Consider the following 21,203-nt stretch of genomic DNA (forward strand, 5'->3'; position numbering starts at 1 on the left):
TATCTCAGAATAGGACATGTCAGGCAAAGCCTTGGTAATATGGCCAATGTTTCCAATTGTGTCCTATTAGAAAGAGAATAGATTCTTCTTAAATGTAAGCAAATAACTATATTGTTATTGAAATAAGAATACTCACAAATAGTCTCCAAACTCTGGAGGGATCAGGTAGGGAGAAAAAAAAATTTCAATTCTGCACACAAAAGTACACCTTCCCATATTCCCGTAAACTGTAGATAGCTGAAAGAAAAAAAAAATTAATGTGGAAAATGAAACATGAAAGAATAAGCCATGTGCCAAACAAAAAAGTCATAAAATCATAATCTTTCATTGCTTTAGTCCCATGTAATAATTCTTATTCTGCTTGATGTTGGGTTAGTAGTTTTTTGAGTTCAGTTTTTTCACTGAAGTTCGGAATTCTTACCCAGTCAAATACTACGATCTCAAAATCATCAGAAAACTATATTCAATGGTACTTGTGAGAGTCTTTTCTATAAATTTCATTGAAGAAAAGCAATTTGGGGCTATAACTGACTGCAAGATGCTTTTAGAGAAGAAGCAAAACCACTGTCTGTCAATGACAAAAACTTACAATAGCCATGGTTAAAAACCTAATGAGAATTCATAACAAGTCATTGACAAGGAAATGTGTTGTGGCACACAACGCTTTAACATAATAACCATAATTATTACTGATAATGTACACTAGGATATAAATTTCTAGAAATTTCATACAATTTTGGAATACATGTGAATAACATATCTATAAAATTATAACTCAAAGAAGGTTAAACATACATGTGAATAACACATGTATAAAATTGTAACTCAAAGAAGGTTAAACATCACTTGCTATTTGGAGTGCTTCCCATATAACTTAGCGTATTAAATAGGCCTAACTTGTTTAATATCTCTCTTTTGTACTGCTAGGGGTCCTTCTGGAATGCCCAAAAGTTAGTCTGAGGTCAAAAAGACTTAATTTTGATTTGGAGAAGGTTGTTAAAAAATAAAGGTTCGAAGCATTCGATCAAAAATAAGATCACAGGTTACTGTTAAATTCATTTAACCAGAATGGCAATTTAAAGACTTCAAAATAAAATGCAGGAAGTTACATAATTATAGAAACAGTTTAATTCTTTAACCCAGTTTTTCTAAGTAATCAAAGACCTAATAAAGACAGTATAAAGCATAGGAAATTATTTTGATAAAATGCAAAATCTATCAATACTCTTGTTTTTAAAAGAGAAGACCAAAGTTTAGTTTTTTACCAGTGCACTTTTTCTATTAAAGCTCATTTCTGAAACCTTTATAATAATTTTATTCAACTTTAGTCAGTTTAACCTTACAATATTTTCTCTCACTCTCTTTACCCAACTCTCTTGAACTGTCATTCAGCTTTTTATGTATCATTTCTTCATTCTGAAACAACCTTTAAACTAGAATAATTATTTTTCTTCAACAACAAAAAATCCTTATGCCTTCCTTATAACTTTCCTCACCAAAAACACATCCTAGTTTCCTTCTACACTTACATACAGAATTTTTTATCTTATTTCTAGTAGTTTTAATTACATATATTAATTAGAATTTCAATTCTTAGTAATCTTATTTTCCAGTGAAAATCTAGGAAGTAAACAATCTTGAACTGGCATTGTACCAACATGTTATCAATAGATTTCATAATTTCTAGAAACAAAAGCTTTCTCATAAAGTAATTTTACAATGTGGATCAGGACATATTTACCAGCCAAACCAAATATATTTAGTTCTCTTGTAACAAGAAGTTAAAAGTAAATAAGCTAAAATGTATGATTAACAATTAATGTTCCAGTATTATATCTTATTTGGAAATGATCTAATTATTTAAAGAATATTCATTATCTAATTTAGTTTAGCAATACTTTAAGGGTGTAGTTACCTGAAAGATTTGAGAAACCTTTGAAAGTATATATTATAAATCATAATTATTGTTAAAAATTAAATTTATAAAGTTTTATCTCACTTACATCTATTTAATTACTTTAAAACCAACAGCATTAAGCTAGTCCTATTTGTGAAAGATTTACCCAAGTCACATGAACTTGAAAAGCCTTTGAGTTTGTTACCATATTTCTAGCAGTTTTAAAAGTATTTAATTCATAAGAACAAATTTTTCTTTAAGCCAATTTGAAATTCTTCCAAGAAATTTTATCCCATGTAGATACAACTTGCACCATACATGCACACATGTATAAACATATACAAACATACAGATAGGACACAAACAAAAATATTATAGTTTTTATTGTAAAACTTTAGACAGATACAATAATATAAAACTCACCAATTTATGAAGTATTAACCAAGTTAACACTACCTGTTTACAATGGTCAAAACCCTTTATCAATATTAATAGAAAAGACCTTTAAGATTTTTCATTTGTTTTAAATTTTTAAATAGCTTTTTTTCCCTGAGTATATAGTTCCATTTTAGCTTAGGAGAGAAGGCAAAGAAATTCTTATTATGCTCTGAGTATGAACCACAGCCCTAAAACAAAGGTATATCTACAAGAAACTCAACAGCAAAAATAATTCTCATGACCTAAATTAATAAGCCTTTTAATGGCTTTAACCAAGTGTCTAAAGTTAGAGCAAAAAGATACAGGCTGCTGAAAATCCAAAGCCACTCCCAAAAGAAAGGCAGTCAAAAAGAAAGAAAAGCTTTGCTTGCCAAAAATGGGGTACAACCCATATTTCTGTCCAGCCATATTTGTGGGTCTCTCAACCTTTTGGTAGGCCACCCATACATGAGGGCCTAATAACCTGTGTGCCCTCAGTAGACAAAATGTTTAAAAAAGACAACAGTTGGTAAGACAAACAGGAAAACAAAAGCCATTCATGAGAGGGAAGAGGATCATTATCAAACGAGTACCCCAAAAGTCAAGAGTTATACAAATTCAAAACAAATAATTCAAATAAATTCTTATAAACTAATTCTTACAAGTATTTATCTCCTGAGCTAAAGAAATGTACTGAAAAAAATGGAGGTGGATTCAGAGAAGGGAAGTTTTAAACTTTGGAGCCCAGAGATCCAAAAACTTTTCTCATTTAAAAGGATTTTAACTTTGTTCTAAAACTGATTTTTATTATTTTAATATTGCCAAAGGAGTCTTTAAGGGTAACAGTTATATTTACGTGTGTCTCTTCTTTTTTTTAATTTGATCTTTTCATAGATAGCAATAGTTAAGATGAGAGTTTTTCTACATATAACCAATTTATTTATTACAAAAGTGATTCAAATCAATAAAAGACTTCATTTATAGACCTGTTTTCACCAGCAACTCCAAATTTGAAGGAAAAAGAGACAAGGAGTGACTCTTGCCACTCTTACTCAACTGGGCTCTAAAGGCAGAGATCTGGGAATACTGACCTTGGTAAAAATTCTTACCTTTCTTGGCTGGCTTTTTTGTTAGTTGTCCCAGGGTCCCATTTACAGCCTCTAAACTGAGCAGAGTGACTTGTTCTCCTGCCTGGGCTCACCAAAACTGTTAGGGACAAAGGCAACTTTCCTCCCTCTTCCTTCTGAAGATTCAATAATTTGTGTCTATAAAACCAACTGACAAGAGACAGATTAACAGGGTAAAAACACATACAAATTTATTATATGCACATGAGCATGAGAGTCACACAAAATATGAGACTCAAAAAAGAGCCTGATGGCTGACGTTTTCATATTGTACAGGAAGGATAGAGTCTTGGCGGTCCTGAGGGCTGTGGTGGCAGGTTATGGGAGGATGAGGGGAAGAAATGCACTGTGAACAAAGGCTGTTGTTTCATTGTACAGATAAAGTCTCTCAGGCAATAGCCCACAGAAAGAATAGATCATAACCTGTAGTGATAATTTCTCTGTCAGACCTTTAAAAGTGTCAGACCTTTCTTTAATTCCCTTTTCCTGTGATTTAATCTTTCCTAGGTTTAGAAAAAAGGGACCTCAGAAAAAGCCTCTCCCTGCAACTTTTGTTTGCTTTATTAATATAGATAGATGTAAATTTCTTTTACAAAAGGATAGATTTTTCAGAGCTATGCTTGTGTCTGCAGCCCCTCTGAATAGCCGTCTCAAAATATGCCAAAGAGGTACACTCTGAGGTGATGTATTTTGGTTTCCTGCATTGGTCAGGTGGAACAATATACCAGCTAGCAGGGATCTTTTGATCTCCTGAGAGACACTTTGCTAAGTGTGATTAATGCTTTAACAGATGTAGTCCAGAAGATACGTTTCTTAACACTTCCTGGGGCAGCTGAGGAATATTACACTGCAGAGATGTTGTTTAGTTGAACCTTGAAGGATGAGACAGAGTTTCCCCTTGAAAGGAGGCATTTTAGGTGAAATAAGCAGTATGTTAAAAGGAACAGAGGAATGCAACAATATGACCCATTTGGAGGAAAGAAACTAGGTGTGATTGGAAGGAAGAATCATGAAAGATCAGGGTAGATACTGGTGGGGCAGCTATTAAAGGAGTTTGAGCAGGGGCATGACATCTTCACATTGAAAGCAATATGGGAGTCGAATTAAATTTAGTACCCAGTTGAGATAAAAGTCCATTGCCATATTCACAGTGAGGTGGGACAAAAGCAGAGTCAGAGAGATTAAGAGGCTGGGAAAGATTGAAGTGATTTTTAGGAATCAGAATCCACATCAGTTGATGACAAGTACAGAAGGGCACAATAGCAAGAAGAAGAAGTAAATGATAATTCCTAGATGCCATTAGTCACAATCAAGTACGGAAGAGACATTATTGACTGAGGTTGAATCAGGGCAGAGAAGATAATATACCTGATTTTGGAAGTGTTGCATGTAAGGGGGCTTCGATTTCAGCTACTTACATACTTGGGAATCTTTACAAAAGCAGGAAGGCTGAAGCCACAGATGTGGATGTAATTACTAAAAGTAGAAGAGGTAGAGTGAAAAGGGACATGGGATGAAGCAAAAGCAACATTTGAGACTGTCCAAAGAATACAGGTATATTCCCTTACTGCAGTAGTCAAAGTCCACAAGACCCTGAATAGGCCTAGTCCGTCTTAACTAGTCTGAGGGCTATCAGCCATACATCCGGTACATAAGCATATATTCCTTGGTTTAAATAATTAAAATAATATATTGTCATCCTCTAAGATGCATGAGACTGCCAGAATGACCTGTTAGCCAGAGGTCATTGATATCATCTATCCACAAGAGATTAAACCTCTGAGGTATTAGAAAGCAGTTTTTGGAGGGCCTATAGAAACACATGTTTCCCTTTTCTTATGACTCCCTATAGCAGCTGGTATCACTATAAAATACTGTGTAATCTTTGAAAGTCCCTCTAGAAAAACCAACACGCTCACAAACTAAAGCTAAGATTTTGTCAAATGAGGCCTTACCCAGCTTTATTCAAGAAATAAGCAGTCCTATTGACCTCTGGAAAATGACCTATTTGTCTTCTCCTCCAAGGAATAGTAGTAAAACTATAACAACTGTACATTTATATTTAATAATGATAGAAAATTTAAACTTTCAAGTATCCTGCTTAGAGATGGAAAGCCAGGACTCCCAAAGCAACACTGCTTGTTCCTAACTAGGGAAAAGCTTAGTTTCTTCGCCTTCTTTAGTGTGAAACAAGAGCCCATTTCGGGTGTGTGCATGTGAGCATGCATATTACTCACACATACACATTTACCTGAAATCTACCAGACATTGCATGGTCTTTTAAAAACTTGTTTTGTTCTCCTGAAATGTTTTCTATTTTGTTTTCTCCTAGTCTCTCTGGGCTTATGTTTTATCTCAGCCACCATTTAATGAGTTTCTATGCTGTTCAAAACCATAGAAGTTTCACATTCTTCATTTCATTTTATTTTTCAATATTTATATGAATGAGATGTTAACATCCACTTTTATACACGAATCTCCCTCTGCAAAAGGCTCAACAACTTGCCCAAAGTAAGTCTTTCTGACACTAAAGCCATCACTTCTTCCACGACACTGTCATCTCCAAATGAGCTGGGGAGAAAGTGGCCCCTAATAATTCTAAGTTACCTTGAACCTCTTTATTCCAGAATTCATCATCTACTAACAAAATTTTTTGTATGTAAATAATAAAACTAGAAATGAAAAATCTCAAAGTATTAGCAACAAGAGCCCAATAAGTATGAAACACCCAGCAACAGAAACTATTTATATTGGCTAGATCTAAATTTGTCTATGTCAGTTAATATTATTTATGTTACCTCATCTCAAAGGGTATACTAGAATTTCAAGTTATAAAGATGTGGTTTCAATTAAATATATTAAAGTAGTTCTCAAAACAGTTATTTTACAGTGTCCAGTTATTCACTAAGAAAAAAACATTTAATGTTCTGGTTAGTGGTGACTTAGTACGATGTTTCCATCCTTGGGCTCTTGGCCCCAGTCCAATCATAAACATGTTGTACCCTGCTGTGGTACAACAGGAGAAAACCACGTGTTAGCAGAGGCTCCTATCAGGACCTTTGAGGAACTGAATCTCTTTGTGAATAAGCAGCTCCTAAGAAAGATCTGATCTAAGCATAACATGATCTGAAAATTTTTGCCTCTCCACGTGCCATTTTAGAACCTGTGAACAGCACACTACACAGATTGGTAGCAGAGCAACTTCAACTGGTCCAATGTATGAGTATCGACTTTTTATCCTTTAGAGCTTTACTGCTGCCACTCAAGGGCAAATTGGGAAATAATTCCAAAAAATGCAGCCAATGGTAATTTTCTACATTGTAAGCACAGGAAAGGAGGAAATAAAAGAAAAGATAAATAGGTTACCTTAGTGCTATCCTTAGTAACTCTGTTCAATCTTGGCAATGACAAACCTATATAAACTTTAACTAAATAAAGGCAATGCAGCCAGAAGGTGAATTTTGCTACTTGGCTTACAGTCCTGATCCTGAGAAAACTGTTAATTCCCCTGATGTCACTAAATACTCCCTACAATTAATTACTCCCTCAACTAATACATTGAGAAATGTATTAATTCAAAAAATCCATTTTCCACATAAAAGAGAAGCTTTAGCACAATAACGTTTTGTCTAAACATTATTTATTCATTGCCACTGAGAGTTTTAAAACAATGCAATTTGGAATAAACATATGCCTGGTTAATGTTATCCTTTAGAGAGAAATAAAAATTAATAATTTAAAACCACATAGTTGTAAGGCATCTGGTTTGATAGAAATGTACTCTTGAGGTAGAACAGTGAACAATTACTCAAAAATCAGAAATATTGGAGGAATCACAACTTCTCAGATGGTTAAAGTAGTCTATCTGTAAATACAAAGTAGGGTTTTTAATCCTTAAATAGCTTGTCATTTCTAACAATGTGAAGAATATATTGATAAATATCTTTAAAAGAATGAGTTTTTTTTTTAACTTCTGTGTCTGTGTTAAAAACAAACACTGGTATACTTTGAAATAAATTGTCAGTAATGTACTGTGTGATTTTATAAAAATAGCATAGACACTAATTCCTAATTATGACAGTGACTGGCTTACTGGATTCAATTGGAGATTAATCTAGTTCACATTTTTCAAAGCACAGCACTAATACTCTGTACTCCTAATCCGGATCCTCTAAATTAGAATCCCAGGGGAAGCATTTCCATTCAACATTCCAGGTAATCGTAGGCATGCTAAAGCTTTAGAATCACAGTAAACATATTTTGCCATAGAAATTTCTGAAGATTTGTCAAATTATTTAACACTTGATTAAATAATTGTACATGTTCTTTGAACTTTAAAGTAATAGAGTAATATATTATTCATACGTTATATATAAGCATATTCAAAAATAGATGTATGTTAAATAATAATAACGAACATTTGGAGTGCTTCTTTGGAGGTATTGTTTTAAGGAGGAGTTCGTTAATATTATTTTGTTGAGTACTCACAGCAACTGTACGAAGTATTATGTTTATCGCCCATTTTATGATGAGGAAAAGAGGTAACTAATTTGAATAAATTGCCTGAGGTCACACACCTAGCAAGTGGCAGAGCCAACTTTGGACTCATGCAATCTAGCTCCCAAACCTCGTCTTAACCACCAGGTCATACTATATCTTAAAGGTTTTTCAGTGAAAACTGGTCTGCTAAGAAGTCATAATAATAGGAAATGCTTTTAACACATTATTAGTTGAACAAGAGGAACCAAGGTAAGGAGGAGAGAGGAGAGGAAGGAAAAGAAGGAAAGGAGGAGGAGGAGAGAAAGGATCTTACAAAACAATATAGACACAACTGTTTTGCAGTGAAAATATACATAGAAAAAAAAGACTAAAAAGGTATAAACCAAAATACTTATTATCAGATGATGGGGTGGCAGTAATTTACTGTGTTTTCTCTATTTTCCAAATTCCCTATAATAAGAGAATGAATGATCATGTATTGCTCTTATAGTCAGAAAACAATAAATGAGTCATTTTACAGGCTGATTACATATGTCTTAGTTGACCTGTTTCGTAAATATAGGAATTGATTTAGATTTTTAATTATACTTATTACTTAGCTACCTTTAGAACACATAAATGTATAATAACTGTTTTTTAAAAACTTTGAAGAATGGTTTAATCCTTATATGTAAATTCTATATTTTTATATTATGTTTAGGTGCTCTGTGAAGAAAAAAATGCAAACCACATTGTGGCTTTAAAATAAGTATGTTATTTCTACCTCACTGCAATGGAAAACATTCCAATCTTATTTTGTTCTCCAATATTATATACATAATGAAATAAATAAGATTATTTATCAATACATTTTATTTTACATTTGTTTTATTATTCTGATCAGAATTTATTTTGTTAGAATTCAGAAAAACTGTACCTTAAAATGTAAGGTAAGAACAGATATTTGCACACTGGCGTTCATAGTACCACTATTCACAAGCATCATTCACAAGCCAAATAATTCATAGCACTATTCACAAGTACCACTTATCAGTGGATAAGTGAATAAACAAAATGTGGTATAACCGTACAATGGAATATTTTTCAGACTTAAAAAGGAACAAATTTCTGACACATGTTACAAAATGGATGAACCTTGGAGACATTATGCTAAGTGAAATAATCCAGTCACAAAAGAACAAATATTGTATGATTTCACTTATATGAAGTGACTAGAGTTGTCAAATTCATAGAGACAGAAAGTAGAGTGCTGAAGGAAGGGAAGAATGGAGAGTCAGAGTATACAAGGTACAAAGTTTTAGAGAAGGTGAAAAGTTCTGAAGATGGAGAGTGGTGTTGGTTGTACAATGTGAATGTAGTTAATGGCAAAGAACTGTCCACTTAAAATGGTTAAAATAGTCAAGTTTGTGTTATATATAAATTTCCTCAATAAATAAGCTTGGTGTGGTGGCTTATACATGTAATCTTAGCACTTTGCAAAGTTGAGGTGTAGAAACCACTTGAGAAGAGCCTGGGCAACATGGCAAAACCCCATCTCTACAAAAAGTAAAAAAATTAGCCAGGCATGGTGATGCATGCCTGTAGTCCCAGCTACTCGAGGGCTGAGGCCAGAGGATCACTTGAGCCTGACAGGTCGAGGCTGCAATGAGCTATGATCATGCCACTGCATTCCAGCCTAGGTGACAGAGTGAAACACTTCCTCAAATAATAAGTAAAATTGAAATAAATTAATTAATAAAATAAAAGATATTAAATAGTATTTTTCATTTGTTATTGCGTTCAAGACAGATCACATTCTCAAAATCTTAAAATTACCTATTCATAAGGGTTGTACTCCTAAAGATGCTTTAATAGACATCTTTTTTAGAAACCTTGCATTTATCGCCTCCTAATTGGTCTTTGATCATAATATATCCCTGCTTATTGAACTCCTCCTGTGGGTATCATTCACATTATAAATAAAATCCAAATTCTGCAAAAAATGCTTTATAATATTGATTTCTGTGCATAGAAATATACCTACACATATGTCCCCTCTCCCTCTCTTTCCTTCTCTCTCTCTCTCTTTCTCTCTCTCTCTCTCTCTGTCCTTCCTACAGCTGCACAGGCTTCTTGCTGTTCCTGGTACATACCAACTTTTTAACTTTGACAAAGACATGACACTCAATACTTCCACCCCTGGAAAGCTTCCCCTAGACTTCTGTTGTTCCTTTTCAGCAAGGTCATTCCTAAGGGCCCCATCCAAAACAGTGCTGCTTCTAAGATGCAGCCACTCTACGCTTTAGCCTTCTCTCTGTGTTTCCTCCTTAGCACTTCAATAACTAAAATGCTGTATGGTTCACTTGTGTGTTTTCTTTCTTTCTGTAGTGGAATGTGAGCACCAGGACAGCACACATCTCAACTGTCTTGTTACCACTGTATCTCCAGTGTCACAGCACTTAGCACAGTGCCTGGTACAAAGTAAATACTCAGCAAATACTGCGTGTGCAACTGTTTGTATAAACATATTCGAAATACCTCATTGGCTGTCATTGATATTTGTGGTATAGATAAAATGAGATTGAGGTTTGCAGTAGTAAGGATGAGCCATTTCTGAATCAACAAATTTTAAGTAGGTGGTCATTTGTTCTCTGAGATAATATCCTGATTTTAGGTAATAGAATTTCATAAAATGGACCCAACTTTTTTCTCCACTGAGAAATAATTTGAATATGAGCATTTGTCATGTATTTTCTTAAATGCTTTACATTCATTGTAGCATTTCATCCTCACAACACTATAAGGTAAATATTATTATTGCCATTTTACAGATACAGAAACTGAGGTACACAGAGCCATTTACCCCAGGTCAAGTAAGTATTCAAATTGGATTTCATTATTAGCAATGATTCCCAAGCTAATGCCTTTAAGCAGTATTGACTGTGGCTTTCCCTAAACACAGATAAGTTTTACTTATCGTGGCAATTTTTTATTACCTATTACATTTAAAATGTGTGCTCATTCAAAAAAGTGAAGACATGAATATTCAAATAAGAAAATAATATAAAAATCATCCCTAATCCTTTAATTAGACATTACCACTTTTAAAATAAATTTTCCTTATCTTTGGGCTTTGCATAGACAACTTAAAATAAATAAAAGTGAAAGAGGAATGAAAATAGTGAACCAGTAAAATTCCAGAATAAGCAAAGTCCTAAAAGATATTTTTTTCATTTAACATGTTAAATGTTTTTTTCAATTGTATCCATTCATCTTTTACTTTATGATATGGAATGAGGAGTGAAAGTTTCCTTACTAAAAATTTTTTTTAAAAAACTGACCTGGCAGATAGTAGGTATATTCTTTTATGTAAGTAAATATGAAATTATTTAAAGGGTATTCAAAAAGTTTTAATTGAATAATATAGCATAATATTTATTCCATAAAATAAAAATATTTTAAGTAGTTATAATATTAGATTCATAGTGGCTTCTAATATTTTTAGGGAAATAAGAATGATGTGACCTCTTAGTGTCCAACTCAACTTCCCTGGTTAAACTGTATCTGTGATAATTAACCATATTTTGAACAGATTTACTCTGAGCAGGCATTTTTCATATGTGTGAAAATGAGCCATAAGAGCTTCAACAGATAATGCCAGAGGATGGGGCTCTCTTAAGAATATGTACTTACCCACACCAGCAGTGCAACCTTACCCTTGGGTCTGTAAATTTCACTTGATAGATATTCCACATGCATACTGTAAGAACATAAGGCAGGAAATATAGAAAAATTGAATGCTCCCACAGTGACAAATAGTAAAATTATACTAAAAATAGCTGCACAGGGATTGTTTTACAGTATTATTATATGCTGTTGTCACTGGAAAATAGTGTTTTTCTTGCAATACATTGCAATGTTATATGATATGTTATTATAAAAAAATTATGTTGACATCATTCAATGGAGTCAATTTTTTTTTTTTTGTAATTTGGTCTACTCTATCAGACAACACTCATCTCAATGTGTCCTTCAAAATACAGAGTTCTTTTTTCAAATTTAATAGAGATTTAGTGAAAACTGTAGAAAGTATATAAATAAGGATTTCTGTTGCTTACAAAACTGAATAAAAGATCATACCTCTCTTTAGGGAACTTACAAATTAGGAGGGAGAGGGATTTTTAAAAACACAGTACATGATATATATATACAATACATATATAGCATGTTCCCTAATCGCTACAAAATCCTAAGGCAATTTAGAGAAAAAAGTGACCATAAAAATTATGATTAGGAAATAATGGGGAGATGCATAAGTCCTGATGTTTCATCAGGATAATGGCTTTAATTTGGATCCTGAAGTATTAGTAGGCTATTAATAGGCAAGGATCTCTTTATTCCTTACACACATATTAATTTAGCATCATACTATGAACTTGTCCAAGGGCTAGACAGATCAATTGAACAGCACTAAGTAAACCCTACTCTAAAGGCTTCTGGTAAACGAATACTAGATAAATTAGGTAAGTTCAGATACTGATAAATTCTATTACAATAATAAGATAGGATAATAGCAAGTTGCTTGAAAGAGTAAGTTGCAAGCAAACTTGAAAGTTGTTTGAAAGAGGAGAGAATGGGGCCTTTTTGTGAGGTAGGGCTTTCTGGAAACACAGTATCTGAATAAATATTAAAAGCCAATCTCAAATAGAGCATTTCAGAAAAAGGAAATAGATTTATTAGAGATTCCGAGATTGAAACAATATTGGTCATGAGTTCAAGAAACAATAACTAGAACAAAACGGCGGTGGGACAGAATGAGGTCAGATTAGAGAGGTAGACACAGATCATACTGTGCAGGATCAAGGAGATATTCAAGACAGAAAGAACAGCTAGAGCCAAAATACAATTCAAAACACATAGAGCACAATGGTTGAACATAGGTGGCTATTGGGATCAAATGGCTTGGCTTCAAATTCTAGCTCTTCCACCTCCTGTTTGTTTAGCGTTGACCACATTATCTATTTTTTCGAGCTTCAGCCTTCTCATTTTTAATGCAAAAATAATGATGATGCCCAGCTTCCCATGTGTGATGAGTACTTCTTGGTATGATGCATGTACAGGGCTTAGCAACGTGTCCAGCACTAACAAAGTAACCATTCTAGAGTATTTTGAAGAACAGAATTGAGTCCAGTTTAATTGTTACATATAAGGAAGAGTAATGGAAAATGAGTCTACAAATAAAACAGGAACTAGAGTTAAGCAGAATATGAAACATCAGACTATTTCATAATCAGGAGAAAATCCTTGCACTCCTTTAAGCAGGGAAGTGATGTGTCAGCAGTAAACTTTGGGTAGATTAATATAGCAATTGTTGACAAAGTATTTTGGATATTGGAGATAAGAAAATAAGCAGTTTGGCCGGGCGTGGTGGCTCACGCCTGTAATCCCAGCACTTTGGTAGGCCGAGGCAGACAGATCAGGAGGTCAGGAGATCGAGACCATCCTGGCTAACACGGTGAAACCCCGTCTCTACTAAAAATACAAAAAATTAGCTGGGCCTGGTGGCGGGCGCCTGTAGTCCCAGCTACTCGGGAGGCTGAGGCAGGAGAATGGCATGAACCCGGGAGGCGGAGCTTGCAGTGAGCCTAGATTGCGCCACTGCACTCCAGCCTGGGCAACAGAGCTAGACTCCGTCTCAAGAAAAGAAAAAAAAAAAAAAGGCAATTTAATTTGTTCTAAGATAGAGACCAAAGAGAAGGACTGGATTGAAGACATTGTAGAGGTTAACTTGGCAGGACTTTGTGACTAAATGAATGAGTACAATCTCAGGAGCCTGAGAGAATATATAATTGAAATACAGACGGTGGGGAAGGAACCAGTTTGAGTCAGAAGAAATTGAGTGAACTGTAGACCTGCTGCTCTGAGATTCCTGCAGCTATCCAGCAAGCAGTTGGAAATGCAAAAGTAAACTAAGGGGAAAAGTACTGGCTGGAAATGTAGGCTAACATTCAGATTTTAGCTGCAGCTTTCAGATTGCCGGTTGGATTGTCAAGAGAAAAGAATGAAGATAAAAGAGCAGAATACTAAGGATATAACCCTAAGGTCCAAGTATAGTTCACTAACAAGACTAGAAGAATGAGTTTATGAATGAGATAGGCGAGTGATCCACATGGTCAAAGGAAAGCCAGAAGAACAGGGATCATATTCTACATGTCAATTGCTGGATATAAATGATACCTAAATAATGAATTTAAACATTTTAACTCAGATATTCAGTTTATGGCATGGCAAACAACTGATTTAAAAATTGTTTATAATGCTTTTTTTTTTTTTGCTCATAATGAAAATGATGTAAAAATTCCTGAACTCTGTGTGTTTTTCCTGTATATATCTAATTTACTTACAAAACTCTCATAGGGAACTTTTTTTTAATGTTCCATTTTTAAAGCCTAGAATAACTTCCTAAGGAAAGTGTGAAATATTCAGACCCATAATAGCTTCCTAGAAAGTAGTTCTTACTTTCCATATGAAAAAAAAAAAATTCTTTGACATAATAGCTAAAGGTGATGAAATTGTTTCTTCTTTAAATGACTCTAGTCTTATGGTGGCATTTAGAAATGCATCTTAAGTGAGGGGTTATCACAAAGTCTTTTTTATCTGCTAGTTTTTCCTCTACTTTACCTTTAATCATAGTAGGAACAAAGTATAAACAAAATCAGCAAATATAAATAAAAATTGTATACATTGTTCTATTTTATTTGTTATCCAACATATGTCTCACTTTGCATTGTGTAGACCAGAATTCGGGTTCATAGAAAAAATTCTTTCTTCAAATGAGCATGCTTATCTATATAAATAAAATTATAAATGGAATTAAGAAATAATAAAACTTATGTAAGGTATTTAATTACTATGACCAACTATATATTAATAAACTTGCAAATATCAGTGAAATAAATATCTCAAAAGCTAGAAATGATCAAAATTAACTCAAGACATTTAAAACATAAAGAGTTCAATAAACCAGGAATAAATTTTATTTTTTATCCAAGAACTTTAGGGCCAGAGAGTTTACTAATGTTATTTTGAAATTCAAGTAATAACTTGATATAGTGTTTGTATAATATAAAGTGTAATGGTTATCTATTATTGTTCCTGATGATTACAAAATTTGATCAACAATTTGATCAACAGCATGAAAAAATGTAGTACAATGATGCAACTATTAACATAGATGAATACAAAAGTATAAAATATATACCAACAAGGTATTTCCAATAATACATTAATGTATTGATGACATAAGATAGGTTTGTTCCAGAAGTTTAAAAAATGTTGTCAATGAATTTGATAAAGTTTAATATTCACATTAAAAGTATTACCGTTAAAACCAAAATATAGCATACTTATTCTCTCCATTATTTTGGAATAAGAAAAAATTATTCTTTGCAGAGCTCATGCTTATATGCATAGAATACCCCAGAGAGTTATCTGAAAACTGTCAGACATTATTCTTAAAGACTTTAGCTACAAGAATTTAGATACAATATAAATAGCCTAAAAACCAGTAACTTGATGTTGTATCACTGATGACTGCTTACAAGATGGAAATAATTTATTATCAATTAAGAAAAAAGCTAAAACATACCCAGAAACAATCCTAACAAATCTGTGGGAACTTTACCAATAAAACTATAAAGCTTCATTTAAAAAACAAAAAACTAAATAAACAGAGAGATGTACTAGATGGGCTACTGGATGGAAACAAATATTGTAAAAATATAAATTCTAAATTTAGAGATTTAATGCAATCTTCAGCAAATTACTAGAATATTGTTAAGAACTTAACATAATCATAAAGTACATTTGGAACAATCAAAGTAGAAAGACAGCTACAATTAAATGACATTACTTTTTTTTAATACAAGAAAAAAGAGCAAAGATGAAGATATGCACCAAGCTGATAACAATATAATCTCTTGGGGGTGGAATTAAAAGGGTTTGATGGAGGGGTGAGGCTATTTCTTTTTTTCTATATTTCTTTAGTGGGAGTGATTTTTACTTTCTTCTGACTGTATTTTTTTAAAAAGTTGTTAAAGCAATAAAAGCTGAAAATCTAGGGAAATATTTACATCCAATATAACAAATGTTTAATATCTTTAATATGTAAACATATGTATCACTTATAATAAAAGTATTCTAATAGAAAATTTTATAAATATTATCAGGTAATTGGCACTGAAAATAAGAAATTAAAAATTCAATATAACAAAAACATTTTAAAAATAGAGAAAGCTTTTTTATCTCTGTAATTTTGTGATTTAAATGTTAAGACTGATAAGGATACAGTGAGAGAGACCCTCCCATGCCCCTTGGATAGGAATGCAAAAGGGGAAATGAAAATCTCTGATTGCTGAATCATAATGCATTTTTACTTTCCTTCTCATACATTTGTGGATTTTAAAAAATTCTATAATACTACACATTATTTCTATATTAAGGAAAATAAAAAGTATTTCAAATTCAAGAAAGTTATGTTTTATGTAAATGCAGCAAGCTAGAACTTTTAAATATAGTACTTCTTTAAAACACTGCTTTTTAAAATTTATTTATGAGTACTGAACATGGTTATGGTCTCAATTTCTCTCCCCAGTAAGTTCATGCCTAACATTTTAGTCCTTGAAATGGAAATACACAATGTCTTCTCATAAGGATAGTAGATGGTATATATAGTAATAACTATCATAACATTAGTAACGTTGCGGGAACTTTTCCTTAGTTCAGCTAAAGATGGGTGTCCACAAGAAATTAGGCTTGCAGACAATTTGAAGCATGAGGAGGGCAGGGTTCAAGGAAAAGAGGGAAAACAGGGACTCTCCACAAGGCCAGGGGCCCTGCTAGGGTGCTTCCAGCCTGGCAGATTGAATCCCAGGTTCTACTCAGGAAGAGGAGGGCCAGGCTCCTCCCTGCTGCAAACAGCACAAACTTTTATGGCTCCAACCCAGTGCGCACTCCTCCCAATGTTCAGGCCAGTTGGAGGCTCTGCCAGGGAGCCCTTCCCACCTGTCTCAGTAATAGTCAAAATATTGAACTTTATCATATGCCGGATACTGTGTTAAGCTCTTCAGAGGCATTAGCCCAGTTAATCATCAAACCCTATGTGATGGATGTTACTGCTTTCACCATTTTGTAGATAAAAGAATCGAGGGTCAGAGAAGTTACATGAATGTCCAGGATGGTGGGACTTGGAGGAGGAATGCCAACACCTACGCCCAGCTAGATCACTTATTTATTTGCTATCTTCCCTGAGAGGCCATTTAACTTACTTGAGCCAAAAGGTTCTCAACTCAGCTATAAAATGGAAATAATAATACTTGGCAATGTTGTGAAACCCAAATGATGTACTATATGTGAACGCACCCTGAATAGCAAATTCTATAAATTCAAAGCATAATAGAGATTAAGTATTTACAGTTTCCTTCTTTAAAGTATCTTTCTTATTTTACCACTTATCTTTGCCCCAAACTTTAAAAATTGTGATATTTCATAGGAGAAATTATTTTTCCTTATTGAATCCAATATCTGAAGCTTTGTCTACCCAGTGTTGCTAGTCAGTGTTTTATTGCAGACTAACCTATTAATGACCTCTTTAAAAGTAAATTCCAACCACAGAACCTGTCTTCCTGTGTAAGACTTTAGGTGCAGCAAATCATCATGCATCTACAGCAAGTTTTCCACTCTATATTGCTACTGCCAAAGAATCTCAGATGAGATATGAGAGAAAATAAATTAGTCTCATATGATTCAAAATGTAGTGAACACTTTGCAAACAAGTATTTTTTAGCATCTTAAATAAATTTTGGTTGAATTACGTCTCATTTACAATATCACATTTCATCCTAATTTCAGTTGTTTTCCATATTGTCTCCTATTGACTTCTACTCCATTTCTCAAGAAGAGTAAACCTTACTTTAATTTATCTCCGAATAGAAGATTGAAGGAAGACCCTGCTATAAGCATAGCGTCCTACACAAGGAATAGCTAGAGATGTAGGAAAATTTTTATTGATTGGAAAAAAAAAAGTGAGCTGACCTCCAATATTTTCTGTTAGGTTTTCTCTGTAATATGGCACAGGAAAAAATAAATAATAATTTGAAAAAAGAGGCAGCTTTTTCATATTGCTATGGAGCAATTTATGAATAGGACATAAGTCCTTTTTTCCTCCTAAAATAGGGACTTTATGGGGTTTTCATCTTCTTTTTTATTAGTGGTTGGATTATCTGATCATTTACATTATAAGAAACACACGAAAATCTAGAAAACATTTTACATTTTGTTACAGATTTACAAATAGCATGTTTTCACTTTCATTCTAAAACTAATTATTGATATCAGAAATTTGTATCTTACCTAGATCATTGGTTAACAAGACAGATTTTTAATTCATAAACTTTAATTCTTCATATGGCAGTCTGATTGAACCAATACATTTTTTAAAAATTTATAGCTAATTGAAGTATAACATGAATTAAACACACATAGACTTCAAAATAAAGCATAAATAGAAGTGCATGGAAAGATGTACCGATGATTGGTTCTTAGGAAATTAATAATAAAGGCTAACATTTGTTGAACTCTTACCAAGTACGACCTGCAGTTATAATATGCGTTACTTCTTTTAATATTCACAATAATTTTATAATTAAGTACCATTGCTACTTTATAGTCAAACTATTAAGTGATTTGCCCAAGGACATGCCACAAAAAAAGTGATGAAGTTGGATTATGCAGGCACTGGTCGAACTCAACAAGCAGTGTTCCTCACCTCTCACCTACACTCTGGGTAACATTTATTTTTCAAAATCTTAACTATATAAAGTATAGCAATGAAAAATGAAGGATGTTCTAAATGTAAATTGCCCTCACTTAAAAGCTTAAAAAGAAACTAGCTACAATGAAAGGAGAATTCGTATATGTCAGCGTGATCTAGCGCAGTATTTGTAATAAAGCTGAGGTGGGGGGCAGTGGAATAAAGAAGGGAAAATCCCTAGGGGAATATATTAGAATTAAAAAGGAGCATTTTAATACTATGCACACACCACCTCCCAACTCTAGAATTTCCCACCAGTTTTTCTCCTGCCTTACGTAGCCTTTCAAATACTCTTTCTCTTCCTGGAACACCCTTTCTACCTCTCCCTCACTTCAGGGCTAAGTTCTGCAAGTTGATCTCTTCTAGACTATCAGAACCTTTCAAGCAAGGACCATGAGTTTTTTTATTCATCTTAACATAATAATAAGTTGTAATAATTATAATAAATTATAATAAGTTATAACAACTTTTAAAACTATCACGATGCCTCCCACAGACTCAACACTCAAGAAGTATTTGTTGAATAGACAAATATGATATATTTCAAAGTATCTCACAGTTTGCAACGCATTTTCTTATAATACCTCATTCTATTTTCATGATAAGCCCCTATGGTGAGTATTTAAATAAGAAGAAACCTGAGACACAGAGAAGCTAAGAAACTTGTCTAGATTCACAAATCCTGCAAAAAAAAAAACTGAGACTCAAACTCATGCCTTTCAGTTCTGCATCCAGTGTTGTTTCCCTCACAGCTCAGACAAGAAATTGGTCTTCTGGTAAATTATAAGGCCTTCCTGTCATGTACCTAATTTCATGTTCTAAAAAATTTTACTACACCGAAGTGTTTACATTCCACAGAAATTTTTTAACTTTTCATTTCAACTTAACTGTTTATTGCAGAGCGCAGTGGTAGTAAATAATAGATACAATCTTTGCCCTTGAGAGAACTTAAAGTTTAGTTAGAAAGGATCAGGAAAAAAAAAAAAACACAAAGAACTGCAATTCAAAGCAAGAAAGACATGGTATAAGAGAGTCAACAGTTAGTTGGACAAATTTTATTAGGTAATTAATCTATGCACCAGCCTTAATACAATATGCTAGTACATGAGGAATTTAAAAGAGGGGATTGTGGACTCAAAAGAAAGAGATACTAACAGACTCATGGGTATGGTAGAATCTGAGACAAAACTTGAAGAACTGGTTTACTTTTAGAAGACAAATATAAAGGTAGTCATTCTGAGATAATAATGAGACGTTGAGTAAAAGCTACGATGTGGAGACGTGTGGGGCATGTTTTGGAGAGAGCCAGTTTAGTAAGAGTGATACAAAAAAAAGTTCTATTTCTTAGAATATAAGAGTGAAATATTAGGACCTTAAATGCCAGACTAAGGAATTCATTCATAATTTGATAAGCCATGTGGAGCCATTGAGAGTTTTGAGCAGGGGAATGACATTATTGGAGGTGGGGTTTATAAAGATTGACCTACCAGTGAATACAGGATGCTGTAAGAAGCTCAAAGTAGGGACACTAGTCAAGTTTTCAAAGATAAAAATGATAAAGTAGCATCACTTAATTACACCATTGTATCTCAGAAAATATTTAGGTGATCTAAAATAAACATATTCTTTTAGTTTATTCCCTCAAATAGATAAAATGAGTTTAAGAGAGTCCCTGATGATGAGTTTTTATACTAAACAAAATGCTTATTTGGGTGAGAGATTGCAACTCAGTATGGTTAAATTAGATTTGTTATTTCTTAGAACTACATTCCCTTTGGTACTTGTAGAGAACTTCTATTTCTGATTTAAAAAGAACACAAGGCATATGGCAATTTTTCATAGTTATTACAGGTGACATCTAAACTGGCAGAGTGCAGACAAAGGAAAGGCATATAAATTAGACAAATAAAAGTTTCTTTAGACTCATACACAAACACCAACAGAAGTGTACAAAGAGATAATGAACTTGCCTAGGATCACTGCAACTGAATGAACAAGCCCAGATATCTATCAATTCCAAAATGTATTCGACATAAAAGTCAAGTTATGTTTTTTATTGCTGTTTTCAAAAGCAGCCATTTTTAGGATATTTGTGTTTCTGATATGTTAACCAAAATGTTTTATGTATGGTGTCCATTTTAATGGTGTCAATACTGAGTATATTGTGCTAATAATGACCATAACAATTGGCATCTCTAAACAACATAGAAGGTCAACTTCATTGATTTAACTTGAAGTTTTTAGCAAATAAAATAGGAAAGTATTTTCCTTGATGCTGGCTATTGAGTCTGGCACTTACTGGCACTGAATAAGCAGTTTTTTAATGATAACTATCTTATACTAGAGAGATATGACTTTGAAACTACGTTGTATTCGTTGACCAAAAAAATTCTTAGAGTTATAAATTCTGTGA

At 33.3% G+C, this 21,203-nt stretch overlaps 1 protein-coding gene and 1 long non-coding RNA gene across 18 annotated transcripts in view; one reads left to right on the plus strand and one right to left on the minus strand.

Moving 5' to 3' along the window:
* Positions 1–10,617, minus strand: part of LOC105369863 (uncharacterized) — a 197,856-nt gene extending 187,239 nt beyond the window's left edge. Inside the window, exons 1-2 of one of the 2 annotated variants that reach the window (XR_007063385.1) lie at positions 3,424–10,617; positions 137–237 (exon numbers count right to left, since the gene is read on the minus strand). This is a non-coding gene — a long non-coding RNA (uncharacterized LOC105369863). The other variant, XR_007063384.1, reaches the window with a different exon arrangement.
* SYT1 (synaptotagmin 1) overlaps positions 1–21,203 on the plus strand; it is a 588,027-nt gene that overhangs the window by 228,281 nt on the left and 338,543 nt on the right. The window contains exon 4 of one of the 16 annotated variants that reach the window (NM_001415939.1): positions 10,752–10,793. The exons of the other annotated variants lie outside the window; for them this stretch is intronic. The gene's annotated coding sequence lies outside the window, so the exon portion shown is untranslated. The remainder of the gene's footprint in view (positions 1–10,751; positions 10,794–21,203) is intronic. 16 annotated transcript variants of the gene reach the window in all.

The sequence above is a fragment of the Homo sapiens genome, chromosome 12 (assembly GCF_000001405.40).
Source record: "Homo sapiens chromosome 12, GRCh38.p14 Primary Assembly".
NCBI classification, from domain to species: Eukaryota; Metazoa; Chordata; class Mammalia; order Primates; family Hominidae; genus Homo; species Homo sapiens.